This window comes from Homo sapiens, chromosome 3, assembly GCF_000001405.40.
Source record: "Homo sapiens chromosome 3, GRCh38.p14 Primary Assembly".
NCBI lineage: Eukaryota > Metazoa > Chordata > Mammalia > Primates > Hominidae > Homo > Homo sapiens.
The window spans coordinates 16,734,026-16,759,668 of NC_000003.12; the positions used below are offsets into that span (position 1 = coordinate 16,734,026).

Genomic DNA, 25,643 nt, shown 5'->3' on the forward strand with positions numbered 1-25,643 from the left:
CTGCAAATAAACTAGAAAATCTAGAAGAAATGGATAAATTCCTGGACACATACACCCTCCCAAGACTAAACAAGGAAGAAGTCAAATTCCTGAATGGACCAATAACAAGTTCTGAAATTGAGGCAGTAATTAAAAGCCTACCAACCAAAACAAAACAAACAAACAAAAAAACAAAAAACAAACAAACAAAATAACAACCCAGGAACAGGTGGATTCACAGCCGAATGCTACTAGAGGTACAAAGAGGATCTGATACCATTCCTTCTGAAACTATTCCAAACAATAGAAAAAGAGGGACTTCTCCCTAACTCATTTTATGAGGCCAGTATCATCCTGATACCAAAACCTGGCAGAGACACAATGAAAAAAGAAAATTTCAGGCCAATATCCCTGATGAACATTGATGCAAAAATCTTCAATAAAATACTGACAAACTGAATCCAGCAGCACATCAAAAAGCTTATCTACCATGATCAAGTCGGCTTCATCCTTGGGTTGCAAGGCTGGTTCAACAAATGCAAATCAATATACGTAATCCCTCACATAAACAGAACCAATGACAAAAACCACATGGTTATCTCAATAGATGCAGAAAAGGCCTTTGATAAAATTCAACATCGCTTCATGCTAAAGACACTCAATAAACTAGGTATTGATGGACCACATCTCAAAATAATAAGAGCTATTTATGACAAACCCACAGCCAATATCATACTGAATGGGCAAAAACTGGAAGCATTCCCTTTGAAAACCAGCGCAAGACAAGGATGCCACCTCTCACCACTCCTATTCAACATAGCATTTGAAGTTCTGGCCAGGGCAATCAGGCAAGAGAAAGAAATAAAGGATATTCAAATAGGAACTGAGAAAGTCAAATTGTCTCTGTTTGCAGATGACATGATTGTATATTTAGAAAACCCCATCTTCTCAGCCCCAAAACTCCTTAAGCTGATAAGCAACTTCAACAAAGTCTCAGGATACAAAGTCAGTGTGCAAAAATCACAAGCATTCCTATACACCAATAATAGACAACCATAGAGCCAAATCATGAGTGAACTCCCATTCACTATTGCTACAAAGCAAATAAAATACTAGGAATACAACTTACAAGGAACGTGTAGAACCTCTTCAAGGAGAACTACAAACCACTACTCAAGGAAATAAGAGAGGACACAAACAAATGGAAAAACATTCCATGCTCATGGATAGGAAGAATCAATATAGTGAAAATGGCCATACTACCAAAAGTAATTTATAGATTCAATGTTATTCTCATCAAGCTACCATTGACTTTCTTTGAAGAATTAGAAAAAACTATAAATTTCATATGGAACTAAAAAAGAGCCCATAGAGCCAAGGCAATCCTAAGCAAAAAGAACAAAGCTGGAAGCATCACGCTACCTGACTTCAAACTATACTACAAGGCTACAGTAACCAAAACAGCATGGTACTGGTACCAAAACAGATATATAGAGCAGTGGAACAGAAGAGAGACCTCAGAAATAACACCACACATCTACTACCATCTGATCTTTGACAAACCTGACAAAAACAAGCAATGGGGAAAGGATTCCCTATGTAATAAATTGTGCTGGGAAAACTGGCTAGCCATATGCAGAAAATAGAAACTGGACACCTTCCTTACACCTTATATAAAAATTAACTCAAGATTGATTAAAGACTTAAACATAAAACCTAAAACCATAAAAACCCTAGAAGAAAACCTAGGGAATACCATTCAGGACATAGGCATGGGCAAAGACTTCATGACTAAAACACCAAAAGCAATTGTGACAAAAGCCAAAATTGACAAATGGGATCTAATTAAACTAAAGAGATTCTGCACAGCAAAAGAAACTATCATCAGAGTGAACAGGCAACCTACAGAGTGGGAGAAAATTTTTGCAATCTATTCATCTGACAAAGTCTAATATTCAGAATCTACAAGGAACTTAAATAAATTTACAAGAAAAAAACAACCCCACCAAAAACTGGGCAAAGGATATGAACAGACACTTCTCAAAAAAAGACATTTATGCAGCCAACAAACATGAAAAAAAGCTCATCATCACTGGTCATTAGAGAAATGCAAATCAAAACCACAATGAGATACCATCTCACACCAGTTAGAATGGCAATCATTAAGAAGTCAGGAAACAACGGATGCTGGCAAGGATGTGGAGAAATAGAAACTCTTTTACACTGTTGGTGAGAGTGTAAATTAGTTCAACCATTGTGGAATACAGTGTGGCAATTCCTCAAGGATCTAGAACCAGAAATACCATTTGACCCAGCAATCCCATTACTGGGTATATACCCAAAGGATTATAAATCATTCTACTATAAAGACACATGCACACATATGTTTATTGCAACATCATTTACAATAGCAAAGACTTGGAACCAACCCAAATGCCCATCAATGATGGAGTGGATAAAGAAAATGTGGTACATATACACCATGGAATACTATGCAGCCATAAGAAAGAATGAGTTCATGTCCTTTGCAGGGACATGGATGAAGCTGGAAACCATTATTTTCAGCAAACTAACCCAGGAACAGAAAACCAAGCACCACTGTGTTCTCACTCATAAGTGGGAGTTGAACAATGAGAACACATGGACACAGGGAGGGGAACATCACACACTGGGGCCTGTCGGGGGGTAGGGGGCAAGGGGAGGGATAGCATTAGGATAAATACCTAATGCATGTGGGGCTTAAAACCTAGATGATGGGTTGATGGGTGCAGCAAACCACCATGGCACATGTATAACTATGTAACAAACCTGCACATTCTACACATGTATCCCAGAACTTAAAATAAAATTTAAAAAAAAAAGAAATGGAATTTCTGGATTATACGGCAATTCTTTCATTTTTTGAGGAACTACCACACTGTTTTCCATAGCCACTGCACAATGGTTTTACATTCCCACCAGTAATGCACAAGGGTTCTAATTTCTCCATGTTCTTTTCAACACTTATTTTATGTGTTTTTACGTAATAGCCATCCTGGTGGAAGTGAAGTGGTATTTTATTGTGGTTTTGGTTTACATTTCCCTGGTGAGTAGTGATATTGAGAATCTTTTTGTGTGCTTATTGACCATTTGTATAATTTCTTTGGAGAAATGTCTATTCACATCTTTGGGAGGATCAACATTTTAACTCATGCTTACTCTTAAGCTCTGTAACTTTACCCACCAGCACCCTGTGTGTTAATTTTAATACAGACTTAGGTTGCCTTTTAGAAAATTTTGGTATAGTAGAGAAGTTTCTCTAGCTCTGCATCCTTGATTATTACCATCTTATTCTAGGCTAAGAACAAATGTAACAAGAAATTGTCTGTGCCCACACAAGGACTCAAGTGCAATGGAAACTTTATGGGGCTGATTGTTTTTCAGTTCAGGGAGTTCTTCCAGACCAGGCCCACCTACAGCCACTCTCAACTTCCTGGACTCATAGCTCCCCTGGGGTCCTCATATGCTTGACCTTGAAGCTTACCTCCCGCCTTTTGTTTGACCCATTAAGATTGATTAATCTGACTCCAAATATTTTCCTCATTTTCATTGAGGTAGAAACTCTATCAGATCCAGTTAGTGGGAAATATTCTTGGACTCTAAATATCATACTGCAGCCAGGAGTTGTTGAACTCCTGTGTCCAGCATGGGGCCCTGGAAGGCCACTTGCACAGATAAAGTGTGATTAAAATGGTTGGAGTGGTGGGTGGCGGATGGGACAGATTACTTAGACAGGGTTGCTGTAGACTTTTCTGTGGACTCTTACTCCATTTGGGGAGAAAGATTGAGCAGAAATGTCACATCTACTCAGACTAGTCAACTACCCAGCATTTGTGGCTCAATATTCTTTCTTTTGCCATATCTGTTCTTATTACAGCATTATGCTCAAATATTAAAGATATTTCCAAAGCATCTTAAATTTCTTTTAATAAATTACTTGATTTTCTAAGTGCTTTTGCAATGTTGTGTTATTTTTAGCAAATATGTCCTCTTGGGTTTTTTCATACATGTTGACAATATGCTTTGAAAAGAAAGATAAAAATTCCTTGCTTAATGAGCATTACATTTGTTTTTCCAGGATTGCCTCTTGCAAGAATTTTTACCCATATTTGCAATTTTCTTCAATAATAGGGAAACAGTACTTGAACTCTTCAGCTCATCTTAATGTGGGTACACGTTCTAAAAAAAAAAATATTGATGGTGCCCAGCATAAGCCATTGGATGTCTCCTTTCTCACGTTGTGAAAGCTTGTATGGCAGTCATTCAGCTTTTCTAGCTAATAGACCCAGCTGGGGTCCCTGCCTACAGAGCCAGCATCAACTCCCAGACATGAGAAAGAGCCAGCTTTCATGTGATTCCACTCCCAGCCTTTAGGCCACCCAGGTGATGACCTGAGGCAGAATTGAGGTGTTTCCATTGAACCTAGCCTTAACTGTAGATTTATGAGGTAAATAGTGATTGTTGTTGTTTTAAGCCACTAAGTTCTGGGTACTTTGCTACACAAAAATAAATAACCAATGAAGTCACACATATGACTTCTGCTCACTGTTCATTGCCTGTGACTAGTCACATTGCCCTGCCTAATTGCAGGAGTCTGAGAAGTACACATTTCTTAGTGCTTAGGGAGGAGAGGACAACCTGACATTGGTGAGCATTAGTAATGCGTGCAACAATGACTTTGTTTTCAATTATTTAGAACATTTTTTTCTGATTATTAGACAATATGTGGTCACAATGGAAAATTTGGAAAATATAAAATGGTATAAAGAACTAAGTGCAAATCACCCAGATGCCACTATCTAGAATTAATGATCGCTGCTTCCTGTCATTTTCCTCTGTTTACATTTAAAAAACAAAATTGGAATCATTCACTTTTAAATTTTGACTTTTTTACATTAAAAGCACTTATGTGTTCCTGATATTAAACATTTGTTTTGTGCTAAAATATGTATAATAGCCAGGTGCAGTGGTGCATGCCTGTAGTCTCAGCTATTCAGGAGGCTGAGGTGAGACAATCACTTGAGCCCAAGAGTTCAAGGCCAGCCTAGGCAACATAGTGAGACTCATTTGTTTCTTTCTTTCTCTTTTTTTTTTTTTTTTTTCAAGATGGGGGCTTAATCTGTCACCCAGGCTGGAGTGCAGTGGCACAATTATAGCTCATTGCAACCTTGGACTCCTGGGCTCAAGTGATCCTTCCTCTTCTGCCTCCACACACCACCACACCTGGCTAATTTTTAAAAATTTATAGTAGAGACGAAGTCTTGCTATGTTGCCCAGGCTGGCCATCTCTTTAAAAATAAATAAATAAATAAATAAATAAATAATTTTAAAATGTACAACATAAGATTCACCATTTTAAAGTGTACAATTCAAAGCCATCTAACACACTCATAATGTTATACAACCATCATCACTATCTACTTCCAAAACATTTTCATCACCCCTAAAGGAAATTCTGTGCCCATTAAACCTTATTCCCCAATTTTTCCCCTTTTCTGTAGCAACCACAAAACTTATTTATGTCTCTATGGATTTGCCTATGGGAGACATTTCATATGAATGAATCATATAATGTGTGGTCTTTTTGTGACTGGATTATTTCATTAGCATAATGTTTCAGGGATATCTATGTCGTAGCCTGTATCGTACTTCATTCCATTTTAAGGCTGAATAATATTTCATTGTATGGTTGTACCACATTTTGTTTATCCACTCATTATTTGATGGACATTTGGGTTGTTTCTACTTTTTGACTATTGTGGATACTGCTGCTGTGAACATTTATGTGTAAGTTTTTGTCTGAACATCTGTTTTCAATTCTTTTAGATATACGGCTAGGAGCAGAATTGCTGAATCATCTGGTAATTCTATGTTTAACTTATTGAAGAAATGCCAAATTGTTTTCTACAGTGAGTCCACCATTTTACATTTCCACTAGCAATGTGTGAGTGTTCCAATTTCTCCACATCCTTTCCAACACTTGTTATTGTCTACGTTTTTGAATATAGTTATCTTGGTAGAGATGACATGATAACTCTTTGTGGTTTTAATTTGCATTTTCGTAACCACTAATGGCATTGAATGTCTTTCCATGTGTTTGTTGGCCATTTGTATATCTTCTTTAGAGCAATGTCAATTCAAGTCTTTTGCCTTTTTTAAAATTGGGTGGTTTTGTTGTTGCTGTTGAGTTATATAAATCATTTACCTATTCTGGACATTAAACCCTTATCAGATATAGGATTTATAAATATTTTCTCCTATTCTATGGGCTGTCTTTTCACTCTCTTGACAGTGTGCTTTGATACACAAAAGCTTTTAATTTTATGAAGCCCAACTTACCTATTTTTTCTTTTGTTGCTTATCATTTGGTCTCACATCTAAGAAATCATTGCCAAATCTAAGGTCATGGAGATGTACAACTAAGTTTTCTTCTAAGAGTTTTATAGTTTTAACTGTTATATTTAGCTCTTTGATCCATTTGCAGTTGATTTTTGTACATGGCATGAGGTGAGTCCAACTCCATTCCTTTGCATGTGGCAATCCCGTTGTCCCTGCATCATTTGTTGAATAATGTTAAGTGCTTTTTGAAAACATGTTTTGGGTGACTGCATAAGTTACATACTGCATCACCATTTGCTTACTTATTCCTCCTTTGTTTTGTGGTGTTCTAGAAATGCAGATAATTTACTCCTTGACCACATCTTTCTTTAGAAAACATGTTCAGCTCACAGCTTCAAAAAAGAGAACCCCTAGAGACATCATAAATATTGATTTTGGACATGGTAGACACTTGGCCAAAGCTGGGCCCATCAGATCTTTACTCTGGGAATTTAGCACTGGGATACTGATACTATGTGATCTAGATGTGTGGGAAACAAGTTTAAAGGTAACATAAAGTCTGGGTTCCATAATTTTTTTTGACTTTATGAACCATCTGGTTTACAACATCTGGTTATCATAATAACTGAGATTATTATGATAATTTCTGTATTAAAAGGACAGAAGAACCAGCTATAAAGCAGAAAAAAAGGATGCAGACACATTTAAAATAGAAACTACAAAAAATGGAGAGATTTGCAGTTTGTTAAATTTCTAATTCTCGTGAATTCCATAAGAATCTCTGCTTCCTTTACTTTCCCTGGTTTTCTGGAATTAGTTTGGGTGAATGTCTTTTCCTTTGCAAACAAACTTTCCCTGACTTAGACAGACCTTATACTGGTTAGGAATCTTGATTGCAAGAGACAGAAAACCCAACTTAACTGGATTAAGCCAAAGGACTCATACTGGCTTAAATACCCGAAAGTCCAGGGTATAGCTTGATGTAGGGACTAAAAAATGTCATGTAGACATGGTTCTCTGCATCCCCCAGTTCTACCTTCTGTGGTGTTCACTTAATTCTCAACCTTAGAAACTCTCATCTTCAATCATTCTGGCTACGAACAGTCTAAAAAGAAAGAACACTTTCCTACAACTCCTGAGCAAGTCTTGGATTCACTCTGATTGTGACCACATTGCGTGAGTCATGGCCCATCCTTGAACTAACCCCAAGGGGTCTTTTGCCAAGTCTGAGTCATATGTTCACTCCTGGGTAGGGAAAAACCTCATTGGAACCACATTGACTGAAAATGAGGAGGGAGGTTTTCTTAAATTCTGGATTCTGTTACAAAATAGAAATGATGCTGAGTAGACAAAGAAACAATAGATGCCAACACAGGCATTTAGATACATTCTAATTTTTTATTATTGCCTGTAACACTTATGTGCAGCCTTGTCCATAAATATTTGTTCACATCTCTCATTATGTCTTTAGGATATTGTTTAGCTCTGTTGTTGCATTGCAAATCACCCCCAAACTTAGTGGCTTAAAACAAAGACAATGATTCATTTCTCACTATTCTGTGGGCTGGCTGGGCTCAGCTGGGAAGTTCTGCTCCTTGTGGTATAGTTGAGGTTGCTCATGGAGCTGCATTCAGCTGATGAGTGGCTGGGGCTGTCCCATCCAAGACAGTCTCTTCTCCTCCTGGGCCTCTCTCCGTGTGGCTTTTCATCATTCCGCAGTGTAGCCTGAGCTTATTTATAGCGTGGTGACCAGCTTCCAGGATGTAGAGAGTGGAAATTCCCAGACAGTCCTCTTAAGGCCTAGGCCTGGAAGTCCCAGTGCCTTACTTCTGCTTCACCTTGTCAGTCAAAGCAAGTCACGGGGCCTTCCCAGATTCAGAGGGAGAAGGATATAAATATACTCCCAGAAATAGAAATGCCAGATGAAAGAGTATGCATATTTTAAGGTTCATGGTACATGTTGTGAGATTTGTTCCCCAGACAGCTTCTACCAATGTCCAACACCCCCCCCACCAGCAGTGTATAAGATCATGTGTTTCACCACACAAATGCAAACACTTAGTAATTTCACAGGTTTAAAAATAACAATGTGATTGTTGTCTTATTAATATTTGAGGGGTTAAACTTTTTCATATGCTTCTTAGCCATTAAAATAATTTTAATTATTTAATAACATATGTCTATGTTATTAGATTATGATATAGCATACCAATGTGTGCCATCATCTAGTTTAATAAAAAGCATCTTACTGTGAAATGTTCTGTGGGTTCCTCCCTAATTCTATTCCATTCTCTCCCTCTCAAAGGTAACCATTATTATAAATTTTTGTTTGTACTCCCATGCCCTTATTTTATCTTTTATAACAGCTTTTTTTGCAATATCATTCACATATCATACAATGGACCCATTTAAAGTATATAATTAATGTTTTTTGTACATTAACAGAGTTGTACAACCATCACTACAATACATTTTAAAACATTTTCATTATCCCCTAAAGAAACCCTGTACTTCTTAGCAGTTATATTCATTCTCCCCTTTCCCCTAACTCCCACCCTAGGCAATCACTAATCAATTTTATTTCTATTTAGATTTCCTATTTGGGGTATTTCATAGAAATAAAATTATAGAATATGTGGTCTTTTGTGTCTGGCTCCTTCACTTAACATGTTTTCAAGGGTCATCTATGTTGCAGACTGTATCAATATGCCATTCCTTTTTATTACTGAGTAATATTCCATTGTGTGAATACATCACATTTTATTTGTTCATTTGTCTGTTGATGGACATTTAGGTTGTTTACATTTTTGACTATTATGAATAATGCTGTTATGAACATTCAAGTACAAGTTTGTGTAGTCTTACATTTTCAGTTCTTTTGGAGTATTTCAATACCTTGGAGTGGAATTGCTGGGTTATATGGTAACTCTGTATTTAAACTTTTGAGTAACTGTCTTTCAGAGTGTTTCACACTTTGCCAGACTGTTTTCCAAAGTGATGACAGCATTTTACATTTCCAGTAGAAGTATGAGGGTTCCAGTTTCTCCACATCCTTATCAACCCTTTGTATTATCTGTCTTTTTGATTATAGCCATCCTAGTGGGTATGAAATGGTGACTCACTGTGGTTTTCATTTACATTTCCCTAATGACTAATGATACTGAGCATCTTTTCCTGTGCTTAATTTCCCTTCTTTTGTGATAGTTTAATCATGTGTTTGTATTTTTAGATAATATGTTAATTAGTTTTACATGTTTTAATGTAATTTTTAAATTGATATATAATAGTTGTACATATTTTGGAGGTACATGTGATATTTTGATACCTGTATGCAATGCGTAGTGATCATGTTTTGAAATTTATATTAATGGAATTCTTTATGCAAGTATAATGTATGCAGTTGTACATCCTTCTGTAAGATACTTATTTAACTAAATTTAACACTTCTGGGGTTCTCCATATTGAGGCATGTGACTGTAGTTTATTTCACTTATGTGTATATTCCATTATGTGAATACAGCAAAATTTATTTAGTCATTCTTTTATTAATGAACTTTTAGGTTAGTTCCAATTTTTCATTATTATACATGAGGCTACTGTGAATATCTTTGCCTACAGACACACAGGTGCAATAATTTTTCTAGGGCATAAATTGAAGTGAAATTCCTGGGTCATAAGACATACAAAAGTTCACCTCTACTAGGTAAAGCTAAATAGTCTTCCAACATGGTTGTACAAATTCACACTCCCCCAGTAGTGTGTGAGCATTTCTGTTACTCCATCCTCTCTCCAACATTAGACATTGTCAGGCCTCTGAGCCCAAGCCAAGCCATCGCATCCCCTGTGACTTGCACATATACGCCCAGATGGCCTGAAGTAACTGAAGAATCACAAAAGAAGTGAATATGCCCTGCCCCACCTTAACTGATGACATTCCACCACAAAGGAAGCATAAATGGCTGGTCCTTGCCTTAACTGATGATATTCCACCACAAAAGAAGTGAAAATGGCTGGTCCTTGCCTTAAGTGATGACATTACCTTGTAAAAGTCCTTTTCCTGGCTCATCCTGGCTCAAAAGCTCCCCCACTGAGCACTTTGTGACCCCCACTCTGCCCACCAGAGAACAACCCCCTTTGACTGTAATTTTCCTTTATTTACCCAAATCCTATAAAACGGCCCCATCCTTATCTCCCTTCGCTGACTTTTTTCAGACTCAGCCTGCCTGCACCCAGGTGATTAAAAGCTTTATTGCTCACACAAAGCCTGTTTGGTGGTCTCTTTACACGGACGCGCATGAAATTTTGTGCCGTGACTCGGATTGGGGGACCTCCCTTGGGAGATCAATCCCCTGTCCTCCTGCTCTTTGCTCTGTGAGAAAGATCCACCTACGACCTCAGGTCCTCAGACGACCAGCCCAAGAAACATCTCACCAATTTCATATCCGGTAAGCGGCCTCTTTTTACTCTCTTCTCCAGCCTCCCTCACTATCCCTCAACCTCTTTCTCCTTTCAATCTTGGCACCACACTTCAATCTCTCCCTTCTCTTAATTTCAATTCCTTTCATTTTCTGGTAGAGACAAAGGAGACATGTTTTATCCGTGGACCCAAAACTCCAGCACCGGTCATGGACTAGGGAGGGCAGCCTTCCCTTGGTGTTCAATCATTGCAGGGACACCTCTCTGATTATTCACCCAGGTTTCAGAGGTGTCAGACCATGTGGGGATGCCTGCCTTGGTCCTTCACCCTTAGTGGCAAGTCCTGCTTTTCTGGGGAAGAGGCAAGTACCCCAATCCCTTCTCTCCGTGTCTCTACCCCTTCTCCGCCTTTCTGGGGGGCAAGAAACCCCCAACCCCTTCTCCATCACCCTTAGTGGCAAGTCCCGCTTTTCTGGGGGAGGGTCAAGTACCCCAACCTCGTATCTCTGCACCCCAATCCCTTATTTCCACACCCCACCCTCTTATCTCTGTGCCCCAATCCCTTATTTCCGCCCCCGAACTCTTATATCTCTGCACCCTGATCCCTTATTTCCGCACCCCAACCTCTTATATCTCTGCACCCTGATCCCTTATTTCCATGCCCTGACCTCATATCTCTGCACCCCGACCCCTTCTCTGCTTTTCTGGAGGGCAACAACCCTCCACCCCTTCTCCGTGTCTCTACTCTTTTCTCTGGGCTTGCCTCCTTCACTATGGGCAAGCTTCCACCTTCCATTCCTCCTTCTTCTCCCTTAGCCTGTGTTCTTAAGAACTTAAAACCTCTTCAACTCTCACCTGACCTAAAATCTAAGCATCTTATTTTCTTCTGCAATGCTGCTTGACCTCAATACAAACTCGACAGTAGTTCCAAATAGCCGGAAAATGGCACTTTCAATTTTTCCATCCTACACGATCTAAATAATTCTTGTCATAAAATGGGCAAATGGTCTGAGGTGCCTGACTTCCAGGCATTCTTTTACACATGAGTCCCTCTCTAGTCTCTGTTCCCAGTGCAACTCATCCCAAATCTTCCTTCTTTCCCTCCCACCTGTCCCCTCAGTCCCAACCCCAAGTGTTGCTGAGTCTTTCTAATCTTCCCTTTCTACAGACCCATCTGACCTCTCCCCTCCTCCCCAGGCTGCTTCTCGCCAGGCTGAGCTAGGTCCCAATTCTTCCTCAGCCTCTGCTCCTCCACCCTATAATCCTTTCATCACCTCCCCTCGTCACACCTGGTCCAGCTTACAGTTTCATTCCGTGGCTAGCCCTCCCCCACCTGCCCAGCAATTTACTCTTAAAAAGGTGGCTGGAGCTAAAGGCATAGTCAAGGTTAATGCTCCTTTTTCTTTATCCCAGATCAGATAGCGTTTAGGCTCTTCTTCATCAAATATAAAAATCCAGCCCAGTTCATGACTCGTTTGGCAGCAACCCTGAAACGCTTTACAGCCCTAGACCCTAAAAGGTCAAAAGGCTGTCTTATTCTCAATATACATTTTATTACCCAATCTGCTCCCAACATTAAATATAACACCAAAAATTAAATTCTGGCCCTCAAACCCCACAACAGGATTTAATTAACCTCACCTTCAAGGTGTACAATAATAGAAAAAAGTTGCAATTCCTTGCCTCCACTGTGAGACAAACCCCAGCCATATCTCCAGCACACAAGAACTTCCAAATGCCTGAACCGCAGTGGCCAGGCGTTCCTCCAGAACCTTCTCCCCCAGGAGCTTGCTACAAGTGCCAGAAATCTGGCCCCCAGGCCAAGGAATGCCTGCAGCCCAGGATTCCTCCTAAGCCGCATCCCATCTGTGCGGGATCCCACTGGAAATCGGACTGTCCAACTCACCTGGCAGCCACTCCCAGAGCCCCTGGAACTCTGGCCTAAGGCTCTCTGACTCCTTCCCAGATCTTCTTGGCTTAGCGGCTGAAGACTGACACTGCCCGATCGCCTTGGAATCGCCCTAGACCATCACAGACGCCGAGCTTCGGGTAACTCTCACAGTGGAAGGTAAGCCCGTCCCCTTCTTAATCAATACGGAGGTTACCCACTCCACATTACCTTATTTTCAAGGGCCTGTTTCCTTTGCCTCCATAACTGTTATGGGTATTGACAGCCAGGCTTCTAAACCTCTTAGAACTCCCCAACTCTGGTACAATTTAGACAATACTCTTTTAAGCACTCCTTTTAGTTATCCCCACCTGCCCAGTTCCCTTATTAGGCCGAGACACTTTAACTAAATTATCTGCTTCCCTGACTATTCCTGGATTACAGCTACATCTCATTGCTGCCCTTCTTCCCAATCCAAAGCCTCCTTTGCATCCTCCTCTTGTATTCCCCCACTTTAACCCACAAGTATAAGATACCTCTACTCCCTCCTTGGCAACCGATCATGCACCCCTTACCATCTCATTAAAACCTAATCACCCTTACCCTGATCAATGCCAATATCCCATCCCACAGCATGCTTTGAAAGGATTAAAGCCTGTTATCACTTGCCTGCTACAGCATGGCCTTTTAAAGCCTATAAACTCTCCTTACAATTCCCCCATTTTACCTGTCCTAAAACCAGACAAGCCTTACAAGTTAGTTCAGGATCTATGCCTTATCAACCAAATTCTTTTGCCTATCCACCACATGGTGCCAAACCCATATACTATCCTATCCTCAATACCTCCCTCCACAATCCATTATTCTGTTCTGGATCTCAAACATGCTTTCTTCACTATTCCTTTGCATCTGTCATCCCAGCCTCTCTTTGCTTTCACTAGACTGACCCTGACACCCATCAGGCTCAGCAAATTACCTGGGCTGTACTGCCACAAAGCTTCACAGACAGCCCCCCATTACTTCAGTCAAGCCCAAATTTCTTCCTTATCTGTTACCTATCTCAGCATAATTCTCATAAAAACACAAGTGTTTTCCCTGCTGATCGTGTCCGATTAATCTCTCAAACCTCAATCCCTTACAAAACAACAACTCCTTTCCTTCCTAGGCATGGTTAGTGTGGTCAGAATTCTTACACAAGAGCCAGGACGGCACCCTGTAGCCTTTCTTTGCAAAAAACTTGACCTTACTGTTTTAGCCTAGCCCTCATGTCTGTGTGCAGCGGCTGCCGCTGCTTTAATACTTTTAGAGGCCCTGAAAATCACAAACTACGCTCAACTCACTCTCTACATTTCTCATAACTTCCAAAATCTATTTTCTTCCTCATATCTGACGCATATACTTTCTGCTCCCCGGCTCCTTCAGCTGTACTCACTCTTTGTTAAGTCCCACAATTACCATTGTTCCCAGCCTGGACTTCAATCCGGCCTCCCACATTATTCCTGATACCACACCTGACCCCCATGACTGTATCTTTCTGATCCACCTGGCATTCACCCCATTTCCCCATATTTCCTTCTTTCCTGTTCCTCACCCTGATCACACTTGATTTATTGATGGCGGTTCCACCAGGCCTAATTGCTATACACCAGCAAAGGCAGGCTATGCTATAGTACAAGCCACTAGCCCGCCCCTTAGAACCTCTCATTTCCTTTCCATCGTGGAAATCTATCCTCAAGGAAATAACTTCTCAGTGTTCCATCTGCTATTCTACTACTCCTCAGGGATTATTCAGGCCCCCTCCCTTCCCTACACATCAAGCTCAAGGATTTGCCCCTACCCAGGACTGGCAAATTAGCTTTACTCAACATGCCCCGAGTCAGATAAGTAAAATAACTCTTAGTTTAGGTAGACACTTTCACTGGATAGGTACAGGCCTTTCCTACAGGGTCTGAGAAGGCCACCGCAGTCATTTGTTCCCTTCCATCAGACATAATTCCTCAGTTTAGCCTTCCCACCTCTATACAGTCTGATAACAGACGAGCCTTTATTAGTCGAATCAGCCAAGCAGTTTCTCAGGCTCTTAGTATTCAGTGAAACCTTTATATCCCTTATGGTCCTCCGTCTTCAGGAAAAGTAGAACGGACTAAAGGTCTTTTAAAAACACACCTCACCAAGCTCAGCCACCAACTTAAAAAGGACTGGACAATACTTTTACCACTTTCCCTTCTCAGAAGTCAGACCTGTCCTCAGAATGCTACAAGGTATAGCCCATTTGAGCTCCTCTATAGACGCTCCTTTTTATTAGGCCCCAGTCTCATTCCAGACACCAGACCAACTTAGACTGTGCCCCAAAAAAACTTGTCATCCCTACTATCTTCTGTCTAGTCATACTGCTATTCACCATTCTCAACTACTCATACATGCCCTGCTCTTGTTTACACTGCCGGTTTCCACTGTTTCTCCAAGCCATCACAGCTGATATCTCTTGGTGCTATCCCCAAACTGCCACTCTTAACTCTTGAAGTAAATAAATAATCTTTGCTGGCAGGACTATGCTGAATCTCCTTAAGCACTCTCTAATCAGGTATCTTGGGTCGTCCCAATTCTTAGACCTTTTATACCTGTTTTTCTCCTTCTGTTATTCCATTTAGTTTTTCAATTCATACAAAACCGTATCCAGGTCATCACCAATAATTCTACATGACAAATGTTTCTTCTAACAACCCCACAATATCACCCCTTACCACAAAATCTCCCTTCAGCTTAATCTCTCCCACTCTAGGTTCCCACGCCGCCCCTAATCCCGCTTGAAGCAGCCCTGAGAAACTTCGCCCATTCTCTCTCTCCATACCACCCCCCAAAAAATTTTCACCACCCCAACACTTCAAAACTATTTTGTTTTATTTTTCTTATTAATATAAGAAGGCAGGAATGTCAGGCCTCTGAGCCCAAGCCAAGCCATCGCAACCCCTGTGACTTGCACGTATACGCCCAGATGGCCTGAAGTAACTGAAGAATCACAAAAGAAGTGAATATGCCCTGCCCCACCTTAACTGATGACATTCCACCACAAAAGAAGTGAAAATGGCCGGTCCTTACCTTAAGTGATGACATTACCTTGTGAAAGTCCTTTCCCTGGCTCATCCTGGCTCAAAAGCTCCCCCACTGAGCACCTTGTGACCCCCACTCTGCCCGCCAGAGAACAATCCCCTTTGACTGTAATTTTCCTTTATTTACCCAAATCCTATAAAACAGCCCCACCCTTATCTCCCTTCCCTGACTCTCTTTTCGGACTCAGCCTGCCTGCACCCAGGTGATTAAAAACTTTATTGCTCACACAAAGCCTGTTTGGTGGTCTCTTTACACGGACGCACATGAAAGACATTATCACATTTCTTAAATTAGTCTAACTTGTGTGAATAAAATTGTATCTCAATCTGGTTTTAATGTACATGTACCCGATTACTAATGAGATTGAGCATCTTTTCACATTTCTGTGGACCATTCGTATTTTTTCTTTTCTGAAGTGCCTAAGTGTTTCGCCCATTCTTCTGTTGTGTTGTCTTTTAAAAATTGATTTGTAGTTCATTTTATAGTGTGAATACTGACACTTTGTCAATCGTATATGTTACAAGATTTCCAAACACTGTCCTCTCCTTTTATTCTCTTTATTATATATTTTGGTGAGCAAAAGTTCTTAATTTTAATGGAACTAAGTCTGTAATCATGTTATGTGATTTTGTGTTTTTTTTCTTAAATAAATTTTTTCTTACTTCAAGTTCATAAAGCTATACTCTCAAATTATCTTCTAAGTGCTTTATATCTCTGCTTTTCATATTTAAAGATGTGCTTGAACTGAAATTGATTTTAATGTATGGTGTAACCTAAAGTAACCTAAGGATGAAATTGAATTGTTTGTAACTCAAAGGATAAATTCTTGAGGGGGTGGATACTCCATTTTCCATGATGTGCTTATTTGACATTGCAAGCCTGCATCAAAGCATTTCATGTACCCCATAAATATACATACTTACTATGTACCTACAAAATTTTTAAAAGTAATAAAATAAAAGCCTATTACAATTTTTGTTAAAATTAATTTGACTCTACAGATTAGGGAAGAATTGACATCTCTATAAAATTGAATTTTCTGACAAATCAACATAGCATATTAAGTACTCCTTTATTTTTGTCTTTTTGAATATATTTCACAGATGTATCATTCTCCCCATTCAGCTTTGCACATCTTTAGTAGATTATCTCTTTTTTTTTGTCTCATAGACGGAGTCTCACTATGTTGCCCAGGCTGGCCTTGAACTCCTGGGCTCAAGCGATTGATCCACCTCTGCCTCCTGAGTAGCTGAAACTACAGGTACATACCACTGTGTCCAACTAACACCTCATGTGTTTTATGCTATTATAAGTTATGTTTCTTTAAAATTATACATTCTGATTGTACTAATGTTTTAGTTTTATATATTGCATTTTTGTCAAAATTGTTCAGCTCTTTAATTGGCTTGTATTTTTGTGTAGATTCTCTGCGAAAGACTACGTAGACATCATATCAACTGTGAATAATGACTATTTTGTTTTATCATATCCCATCTATACTCTTCAACTTCCTTCTATTGTATTGGTTAAAACCTCCAGTACAAGATTAAATACAAAAGTTGATGGTAAGTGCCCTGTATTTTTTTTTCTCTCCTGAATTTAAAGGGAATTTTTTCAACATTTCACCATTTAAATATAACATAACATTTGCAGTAGGTTTTTAGTATATGCCATTTATCAGAAAAGGAAATGTCTTTGTATTACTAGTTTGATAAGAATGTTTATCAGGAATTCATGTTGAATTTTATACAACATGTTTTTCTGTATTTTTTTAAGATGATTGTATTATATTTATTCTTTAAATTAAGATTGTAGGCAGAGCTTGCAGTGAGCTGAGATAGTGCCACTGCAGTCCCGCCTGGGCGAAAGAGCGAGACTCCGTCTAAAAATATATATATATATATATATATATATATATATATATATATATATATATATATATATATATATATATGGTAGTTAATTGTAATACTTGGTTTCTATTGTTAAGCCAACCTCTCATTCCTGAAATGAAATTAATTTGGCCATATGTTATCATCTTTTCCTACTATGTTTTTAAATTTAGTTTGCTTATATTTTGTTTAGGATTTTTGTATCTGTATTTATGATTTAAATTGGGTTTTAATTTTTGTTTCTCACATTATCTTTGTCAGTTTTTACTGTGCAATTATGCTGGCCTCATCAAATGAGTTGGGAAATGCTCTCTCTTTTTCATACTTCAGGATACCTTGCATAGTTTTAAAATGTTTGTTCTTTAATGTTTGCTATAAATCACTAAAAAAATCCACATAGGCCTGATGTGTTTCGTGGGAAGATTTTTTGGGGTAAATTTTTAGAGACAGAGTCTTGCTATGTTGCCCAGGCTGGAATGCAGTGGCTATGTACAGACACAGTCATAGCACAATACAGCCTCAAACTCCTGGTCTCAAGGGAATCTCCTGCCTCAGCCTCCCAAGTAACTGAGGCTGTGGGAGTATACCATCACACCCAGCCTATGGGAAGATTTAAAAGTTTCTATTCAATTTACTTCATACTTTTAAGACTATTGAAGTTCTCTGGGTTTTTTCTTTTGAGTCAGTTTTGTTGGTTTATATTTTTCTAGGAATTTGTACATTTCATTTAAGTTTTCAAGTGTATTGATACTCTTTTTAATATTCTCTAATTTTCTTTTGGTATCAGAAGTATCTGAAGTTACATCTTCATTTTTATTCCTTAGATTTATTTTATGTCTTCTCTTTTTTCTTTCTTGATCAATCTAGCCAGTTTTGTTTTTGTTGATTATTTTGATTATATTTTCATTTTATATTGACGTGAGTGATATAAGTACTGCGACAATCAAGACACAGAATATTTTTATTACTGTAAAATGGCCTTATGTTGTCCTTTGTAGTCAAACTCTACCCCATCTCTAACTCCTGATATTACTACTGAGCTATTTTCTCTCCCTATAGTTTTGTCTGTTTCAAAATGCTATTTACTGTTTATTATTTACTTATTTTTAATTTTTTTCTGAGTACATAATAGGTATATTTATGGGGTATATGAGATATTTTGATACAGACTTGGAGTGCCTAATAATCACACCATGGAAAATAGGGCATCCATCCCCTCAAGCATTATCCATTGTGTTACAAACAATCCAATTGTACTCTTTTAGTTATTTTTAAATGTACAGTTAAATTTTTATTGACTAGAGTCACCCCGATGGGCTATCAAATACTAGGCCTTATTCATTCATTTGAACTATTTTTTCTTACCCATTAATCATCCCCCAACTCCTCCCCACCCTCGTATAACTATCACATTTTCTTTATCCATTAATCTGTTGATGGACCCTTAGGATGCTTCTAAATCTTGGCCATTGTGAACAGTGCTGCAACAAATATGGGAACTCGGGTATCTCTTTGATCTGCTGATTTTCTTTCTTTTGAGTATGTACTCAGTGGAATGCTGGATCATATGGTAGCTCTATTTTTAGTTTTGTGAGGAACCTCCAAATAGTTCTCCATAGTGGTTGTACTAATTTACATTCCCACAAAAGGTGTACAATGGTTCCCTTTTATCCACATCCTTGCCAGCATTTGCTATTGCCTGTCTTTTGAATATAAGCCATTTAATCTGGGATGAGATGATATCTCATTGTAGTTTTGATTTGTACTTCTCTGATGATCAATGATGGTGAGCACTTTTTATATGTCTGTTGCCATCTGTATGCCTTCTTGTGAGAAATGTATATTTAAATCTTTTGCCTATTTTTAATTGGATTACTAGATTTTTTCCTATAGAGTTACTTGAACTCCTTATATGTTCTGGTTATTTATCCCTTGTCAGTTGGTGTATTAGTCCGTTCTTGCACTGCTATAAAGAAATACCTGAGACTGGGTTATTTATAAAGAAAAGAGGTTTAACTGGCTCATGCTTCTGCAGGCTGCCCAGGAAGCATGGCTGGGGAGGCCTCAGGAAACTTACAATCATGGCAGAAGGTGAAGGGGAAGCAGACACATCTTCACATGGTCACAGCTGAAGGAAGAGAGAGCGGGGAGGTGCTACAGACTTTTAAGCAATCTGATCTTGTGAGAATTCCATCATGAGAACAGCAGCAAAGTGGGATATCTGCCCCCGTGATCCAGTAACCTCCCACTAGGCCCCACCTCCAACATTGGGGATTACAATTCAACACGAGATTTGGGTGGGGACATAAATCCAAACCACATCAGATGGGTAGTTTGCAAATGTTTTCTCCCATTGTGTGGGTTGTCTCTTCAGTTTGTTGATTGTATCCTTTGCTGCACAGGAGCTTTTTTTTTAACTTGATGTGATCCCATTTGTCCATTTTTGCTTTGGTTGCCTGTACCTGTGGGGTGTTGCTCAAGAAATCTTTGTGCAGACTGATGTCCTGGAGAGTTTATCTAACACTTTCTTGTAGTAGTTTCATTGTTTGAGGTCTTAGATTTAATTCCTTAATCCATTTTGATTTGATGTTTCTATATGATGAGAGATAGGGGTCTAGTTTCGTTCTTCTGCCTATGGGTATCCAGTTTTCTTAGCACTATTTATTGAAGAGACTGTCTTTTTCCCAATTGCATGTACATGGTACCCGATATGGTTTGGATCTGTGTTCCTGCCCAAATCTCATGTCAAATTGAAATCCCCAGTGTTAGAGGTGGGACCTAGTGTAGCAGGAGGTGATTGGATCATGGGGGCCAAGTTCTCATGAATGATTTAGCACCATCTCCCTTGGTACTGTATACTGAGTGAGTTTTCACAAGATCTTGTTGTTTAAAAGCATATGGCACTTTCCCTCTCTCTCTCAGTCCTGCTCCTGCCATGTACAATGCTTGCTCCCACTTTGCCCTCCACTACGAGTAGAAGTTCCCTCAGGCCTCCCCAGAAGCAGTGGCTGCCATGCTTCCTGTACAGCCTGAAGAATTGTAAGCCAATTAAATCTCTTTTCTTTATAAGATACCCAGTCTCAGGTATTTCCTTATAGCAGTGCAAGTGAACTTCATCGAAAATGAGTTCACTGTAGGTGTGTGGATTTGTTTCTGGGTTCTCTATTCTGCTCCATTGGTCTGTGTGTTTGTTTTTATTCCACTACCATGCTGTTTGGCTATTAGAGATCTGTAGTGCAATTTGAAGTCAGGTAATATGATTTTTCCAGTTTTGTTCTTTTTGCTTAGGATAGCTTTGACTATTCTGGGTCTTTTGTTGTTCCGTATAAATTTTAGGATAGTTTTTTTCTATTTCTGTGAAGAATAACATTGGTATTTTAATAGGAATTGCATTGAATCTATAGATTGTTTTGGGTAGTATAGACATTTTAACAATATTGATTCTTCCAATCCATGAACATGAAATATCTTTTCATGTTCTTTGGTGTTCTCTTCAATTTCTTTCATTGGTGTTTGATAGTTTTCATTATAGAGATCTTTCACTTCTTTGGATAATTTCTAGGTATTTAATTTTATTTGTGGCTATTGTAAATGGGATTACTTTTTAAATATCTTTTTCAGATTATTCACTGTGGGTATATAGAAATGCTACCGATTTTTTAATGTGGATTTTGTATCCTGCAACTTTACTGAATTTATCAGTTCTGATAATTTTTTGGTGGAGTCTTTAGGTTTTTCCAAATATAAGATTATATCATTTTCAAACAAGAGTAATTTGACTTCTTCCTTTTCAATTTGGATGCCTTTTATATCTTTCTCTTGCTTGATTGCTGTAGATAGGACTTCCAGTACTATGTTGAATAACAGTGGTGAAAGTGGGCATCCTTATCTTTGTTGTGTTCCAGATTTCAGAGGAAAGGCTTCCAGTATTTCCCCATTCAGTATGATACTAGCTGTGGGTCTGTTAAATATGGCTTTTAATCTGTTGAGGCATGTTCCTTCTATACAAACTTTTTGAAGGCTTTTATCATGAAGGGATGTTGAACTTTATCAAATGCTTTTTCAGGATCAGTTGAAATGATCATATGGTTTTTGTCCTTCGTTCTGTTGATATGCTATATCACATTGATTGATTTGCATATGTTACATCCGAGGGATATATCCCACTTGGTCATGATGAATGATCTTTTTAAGTGTTGTTAAATTCAGTTTGCTAGTATTTTGTTGAGGATTTTTGCATTAATGTTCATCAGGGATATTGGCCTGTAGTTTGGATTTTTGGTGTGTCTTTTTCTAGTTTCGGTGTCAGAGTAATACTGGCCTTATAGAATGAGTTTGGAAGTATTCTTTCCTCTTCTATTTTTCAGAATAGTTTGAGTAGGATTGGTATTAGTTCTTCTTTAGATGGTTGGCAGAATTCAGCAGTGAAGCCATTGGGTCCTGAGCTTTTCTTTACTGGGAGACTTTTTATTATGGCTTCAATCTCATTACTTGTTCTTGGTCTGGTCAGAGTTTAGATTTATTCATGTTTCATTCTTGGTAGGCTGTATGTGTCTAGGAATTTGTCAATTTCTTCTAGATTTTCCAATTTATTGGCATATAGTTGCACATAGCAGCCTCTAATGACCCTTGGAATTTCTGTGGTGTCAGTTGTAAAGTCTCCCCTTTCATCTCAGATTTTACTTACTTGGATCTTCTCTGTTTTTTTCTTAGTCTGACTAAAGGTTAAACAACTTTTTGTGTCATTGATCTTTTGTAATTTTTTTTTTTTGAGACGGAGTCTCACTCTGTTGCCCAGGTTGGAGTGCAGTGGCGTGATCTTGGCTCACTGCAAGCTACGCCTCCCAGGTTCACGCCATTCTTCTGCCTCAGCCTCCCGAGTAGCTAGGACTATAGGCGCCTGCCACTACGCCTGGCTAATTTTTTTTTGTATTTTTAGTAGAGACAGAGTTTCACTGTGTTAGCCAGGATGGTCTCGATCTCCTGACCTCATGATCTGCCCACCTCGGCCTCCCAAAGTGCTGGGATTACAGGCGTGAGCCACTGTGCCCAGCCATCTTTTGTAATTTTTAAAATTTCAATTTTATTTATATCTGCTCTGATCTTTATTATTTTTTTTTCTACTAATTTTGGTTTGGTTTGCTCTTGCTTTTCTTGTGCTTTAAGATGCATTGTTAGATTATTTATTTGAAGTTTTTCTTCTTTTTTGATGTAGGCATTTATAGCTATAATCTTCCCTCTTAGTGCTGCTGCTCTTGCTGTGTCCCATAGCTTTTGGCATGTTGTGTTTCCATTTTCACTTGTTTCTAGAAATTTTTCAATATCTATCTTAATTTCTTCATTGAACCACTGGTCTTTCAGAGCATATTGCTTAATTCCCATGTATTTTTATAGTTTCCAAAATTCCTCTGTTATTGATTTCCAGTTTTATTCCATTGTTGTAGACAAGATGCTTGATAATATTTCAATTTTTGGAATGTTTTAAGACATGTTTAGTGGCCAGACATATGGTCTGTCCTTGAGAATGATCTGTGTGCTGAGGCAAAGAATGTGTATACTGCATCCATTGGATGAAATGCTCTGTAAATAGCTATTAGATCTATCTGGTCTATAGTGCAGATTAAGTTTGATGTTTCTTTGTTGATTTTCTTTCTAGAAGATCTGCCCAATGCTGAACGTGGGATGTTGAAGTCAAGCTATTATTTTATTGGGACCTATTCCTCTCTTTAGCGCTGATAATATATGTTTTATATATCTGGGTGCTCCACTGTTAGGTGCATATATATTTACAATGGTTCTATCCTCTTGCTGAATTGACCCTTTTATCATCATATAATGATCTTCTTTGTCTCTTCTTATAGTCTTTGTCTTGAAATCTATTTTGTCTGATATATGTGTAGTGACTCCTGCTCTTTTTTGGTTTCCATTGGCATGGAATATATTTTTTCATCCATTTATTTTCAGTCTATGTGTGTTCTTATAGGTGAAGAGTGTTTCTTGTAGGAAACAGATCTTTGAGTCTTCTTTTTTAAATCCATTCAGACACTGTATGTCTTTTGGTTGGAGTGTTTAGTCCATTGACATTCAACGTTGTTATTGATAAGTAAGGACTTACTCATGCCACTTTGTTATTGGTTTTGTGGTTTTCTCTTCCTTCCTTCTTTTCTTTCTGTCTTCATTTTAGTGAAGGTGATTTTCCCTGGTGATATGATTTAGTTTCTTGCTTTTAATTTTTTGTATATTTATTGTATTTTATTTTTGGTTTGAGGTTACCATGAGGCTTGCAAATACTATCTTATAACCTATTATTTTAAGGTGATAACAACTTAACACTGTTTGCATAAACAAACAAGCAAGCAAGCAAAAAGAAAACTAATAAAGACTCGATGGCTTAAATTAATACTATGGCCTTTTAAGTTTTTGTTGCTACTATTTATATCTTATCCCTCAGCTTTTGTTTGTCTGGGAAAGTATTTATCCTTCATGTTTGGAGGTTAATTTTGCCAGATATACTATTCTAGAGTAAAATATATTTTTTTTGTCCTTCAGTACTTTAAATATGTCATGACACTCTCTTCTGGCCTGCAAGGTTTCCACCATAAAGTCTGCTGCTGGATGTATTGGAGCTCCATTGTATGTTATTTGTTTCTTTTCTCTTGCTGCTTTTAGGATCCTCTCTTTACCCTTAATCTTTGGAAGTCTGATTTTAAAATGCCTTGAGGTAGTCTTTGGGTTATATCTGCTTAGTGTTCAGTAACCTTCTTGTCTTTGGATACTGATATTTAACTCTAGGTTTCAGAAGTTCTCTGTTATTATTCATTTGAATAAACTTTCTACCCCTCCCCTATCTCTTTATCTTCTCTTTAAGGCCAATAATTCCTAGATTTGCCCTTTGAGGCTATTTTCTAGATCCTGTAGGCATGCTTTATTGTTTTTCATTCTTTTTTTGTCTCCTCTGACTGTGTATTTTCAAATAGTTTGTCTTCAGGCTCACTAATTCCTTCTGCTTGATCAATTCTTCTTTTAAAAGACTCTGATGCATTCTTCAGTACATCAATTGCATTTTTTCAGCTCCAGAATTTCTGATTGATTTTTAAAAATTATTTCAATTTCTTTGTTAAATTTATCTGATAGGATTATGAATTCCTTTGTTGTATTATCTTGAATTTCTTTTAGTGTCCTTAAAACAACTATTTTGAATTATCTGTCTGAAAGATTGCATATCTCTGCCTCTCCAGGATTGGTCCCTGGTGCCTTACTTAGTTTCTTTGGTGAGGTCATGTTTTCCTGGATAGTCTTGATGCTTATAGATGTTTGTCTGTGTCTGGGTATTGAAAAGTTAGGTATTATTTAGGTCTTTGCAGTTGGATTTATTTGTACCCATCTTCCTTGGAAAGCTTTCCAGATATTTGAAAGGACTTGGGTGTTGTGATCTAAGCTGTATCTGCCTTAGGAAGAACCTCAAGACCAGTAACACTGTGGTTTCTTGCAGATTAGCAGAGGTACTGCCTTTATGGTCTTGGGCAAGATCCTGAAGAATTCCCTGGATTACTAGACAGAGACTCTTGTTCTCTTCACTTACTTTCTACCAAACAAATCAATTCTCTCCCTCTGTTACAAGCCTCCTGGAGCTGGGAGTGGAGTGACAAAAACACGTCTATAGCTACCACCCTTAGGACTGCACTGGGTTTCTCCCAAAACCTGTTGCAACCACTCCCTGACTACTGCCTATGTTTGCTCAATGCCCTGAGGCTCTACAATCATCAAGTGGCAAAGCCAGCCAGGCTTATATCCTTCCCCAGGGCCTGGGCAAGTCCAGAGGTGCCAACTGGGGGCCAGGGACTAGAGTCAAAAACCTTAGATGTGTACCTGATGCTCCATTGTACTGCAGCTGAGCTGACTTTTAAACCATAAGACACAGTCCTTCCCACTCTTCCCTCTTCTTTTCAATGGCAGAGAAGCCTCACTTTGTGGCCACC

General features: G+C 38.5%; 1 long non-coding RNA gene across 6 annotated transcripts in view, besides 1 other annotated feature; it reads left to right on the top strand.

The window, feature by feature from the left end:
* PLCL2UT (PLCL2 upstream transcript) overlaps window positions 1–25,643 on the top strand; it is a 49,186-nt gene that overhangs the window by 9,860 nt on the left and 13,683 nt on the right. For 2 of the 6 annotated variants that reach the window (NR_199590.1, NR_199587.1), the window contains exons 2-3: window positions 16,943–17,033; window positions 17,195–17,337. This is a non-coding gene — a long non-coding RNA (PLCL2 upstream transcript). Of the gene's footprint in view, window positions 1–5,844; window positions 5,928–10,569; window positions 10,803–16,942; window positions 17,034–17,194; window positions 17,338–25,643 lie in introns of all 6 variants that reach the window. The other 4 variants (NR_199589.1, NR_199588.1, NR_199581.1 and 1 more) reach the window with 4 other exon arrangements.
* Window positions 15,509–16,010: an enhancer, noted in NCBI's record as "OCT4-NANOG-H3K27ac hESC enhancer chr3:16791041-16791542 (GRCh37/hg19 assembly coordinates)". NCBI's record gives its function as "activates a minimal SCP1, AML or CMV promoter by ChIP-STARR-seq in naive H9 embryonic stem cells {active_cell/tissue: H9 hESC(naive)}" and the evidence as "EXISTENCE:reporter gene assay evidence [ECO:0000049][PMID:30033119]".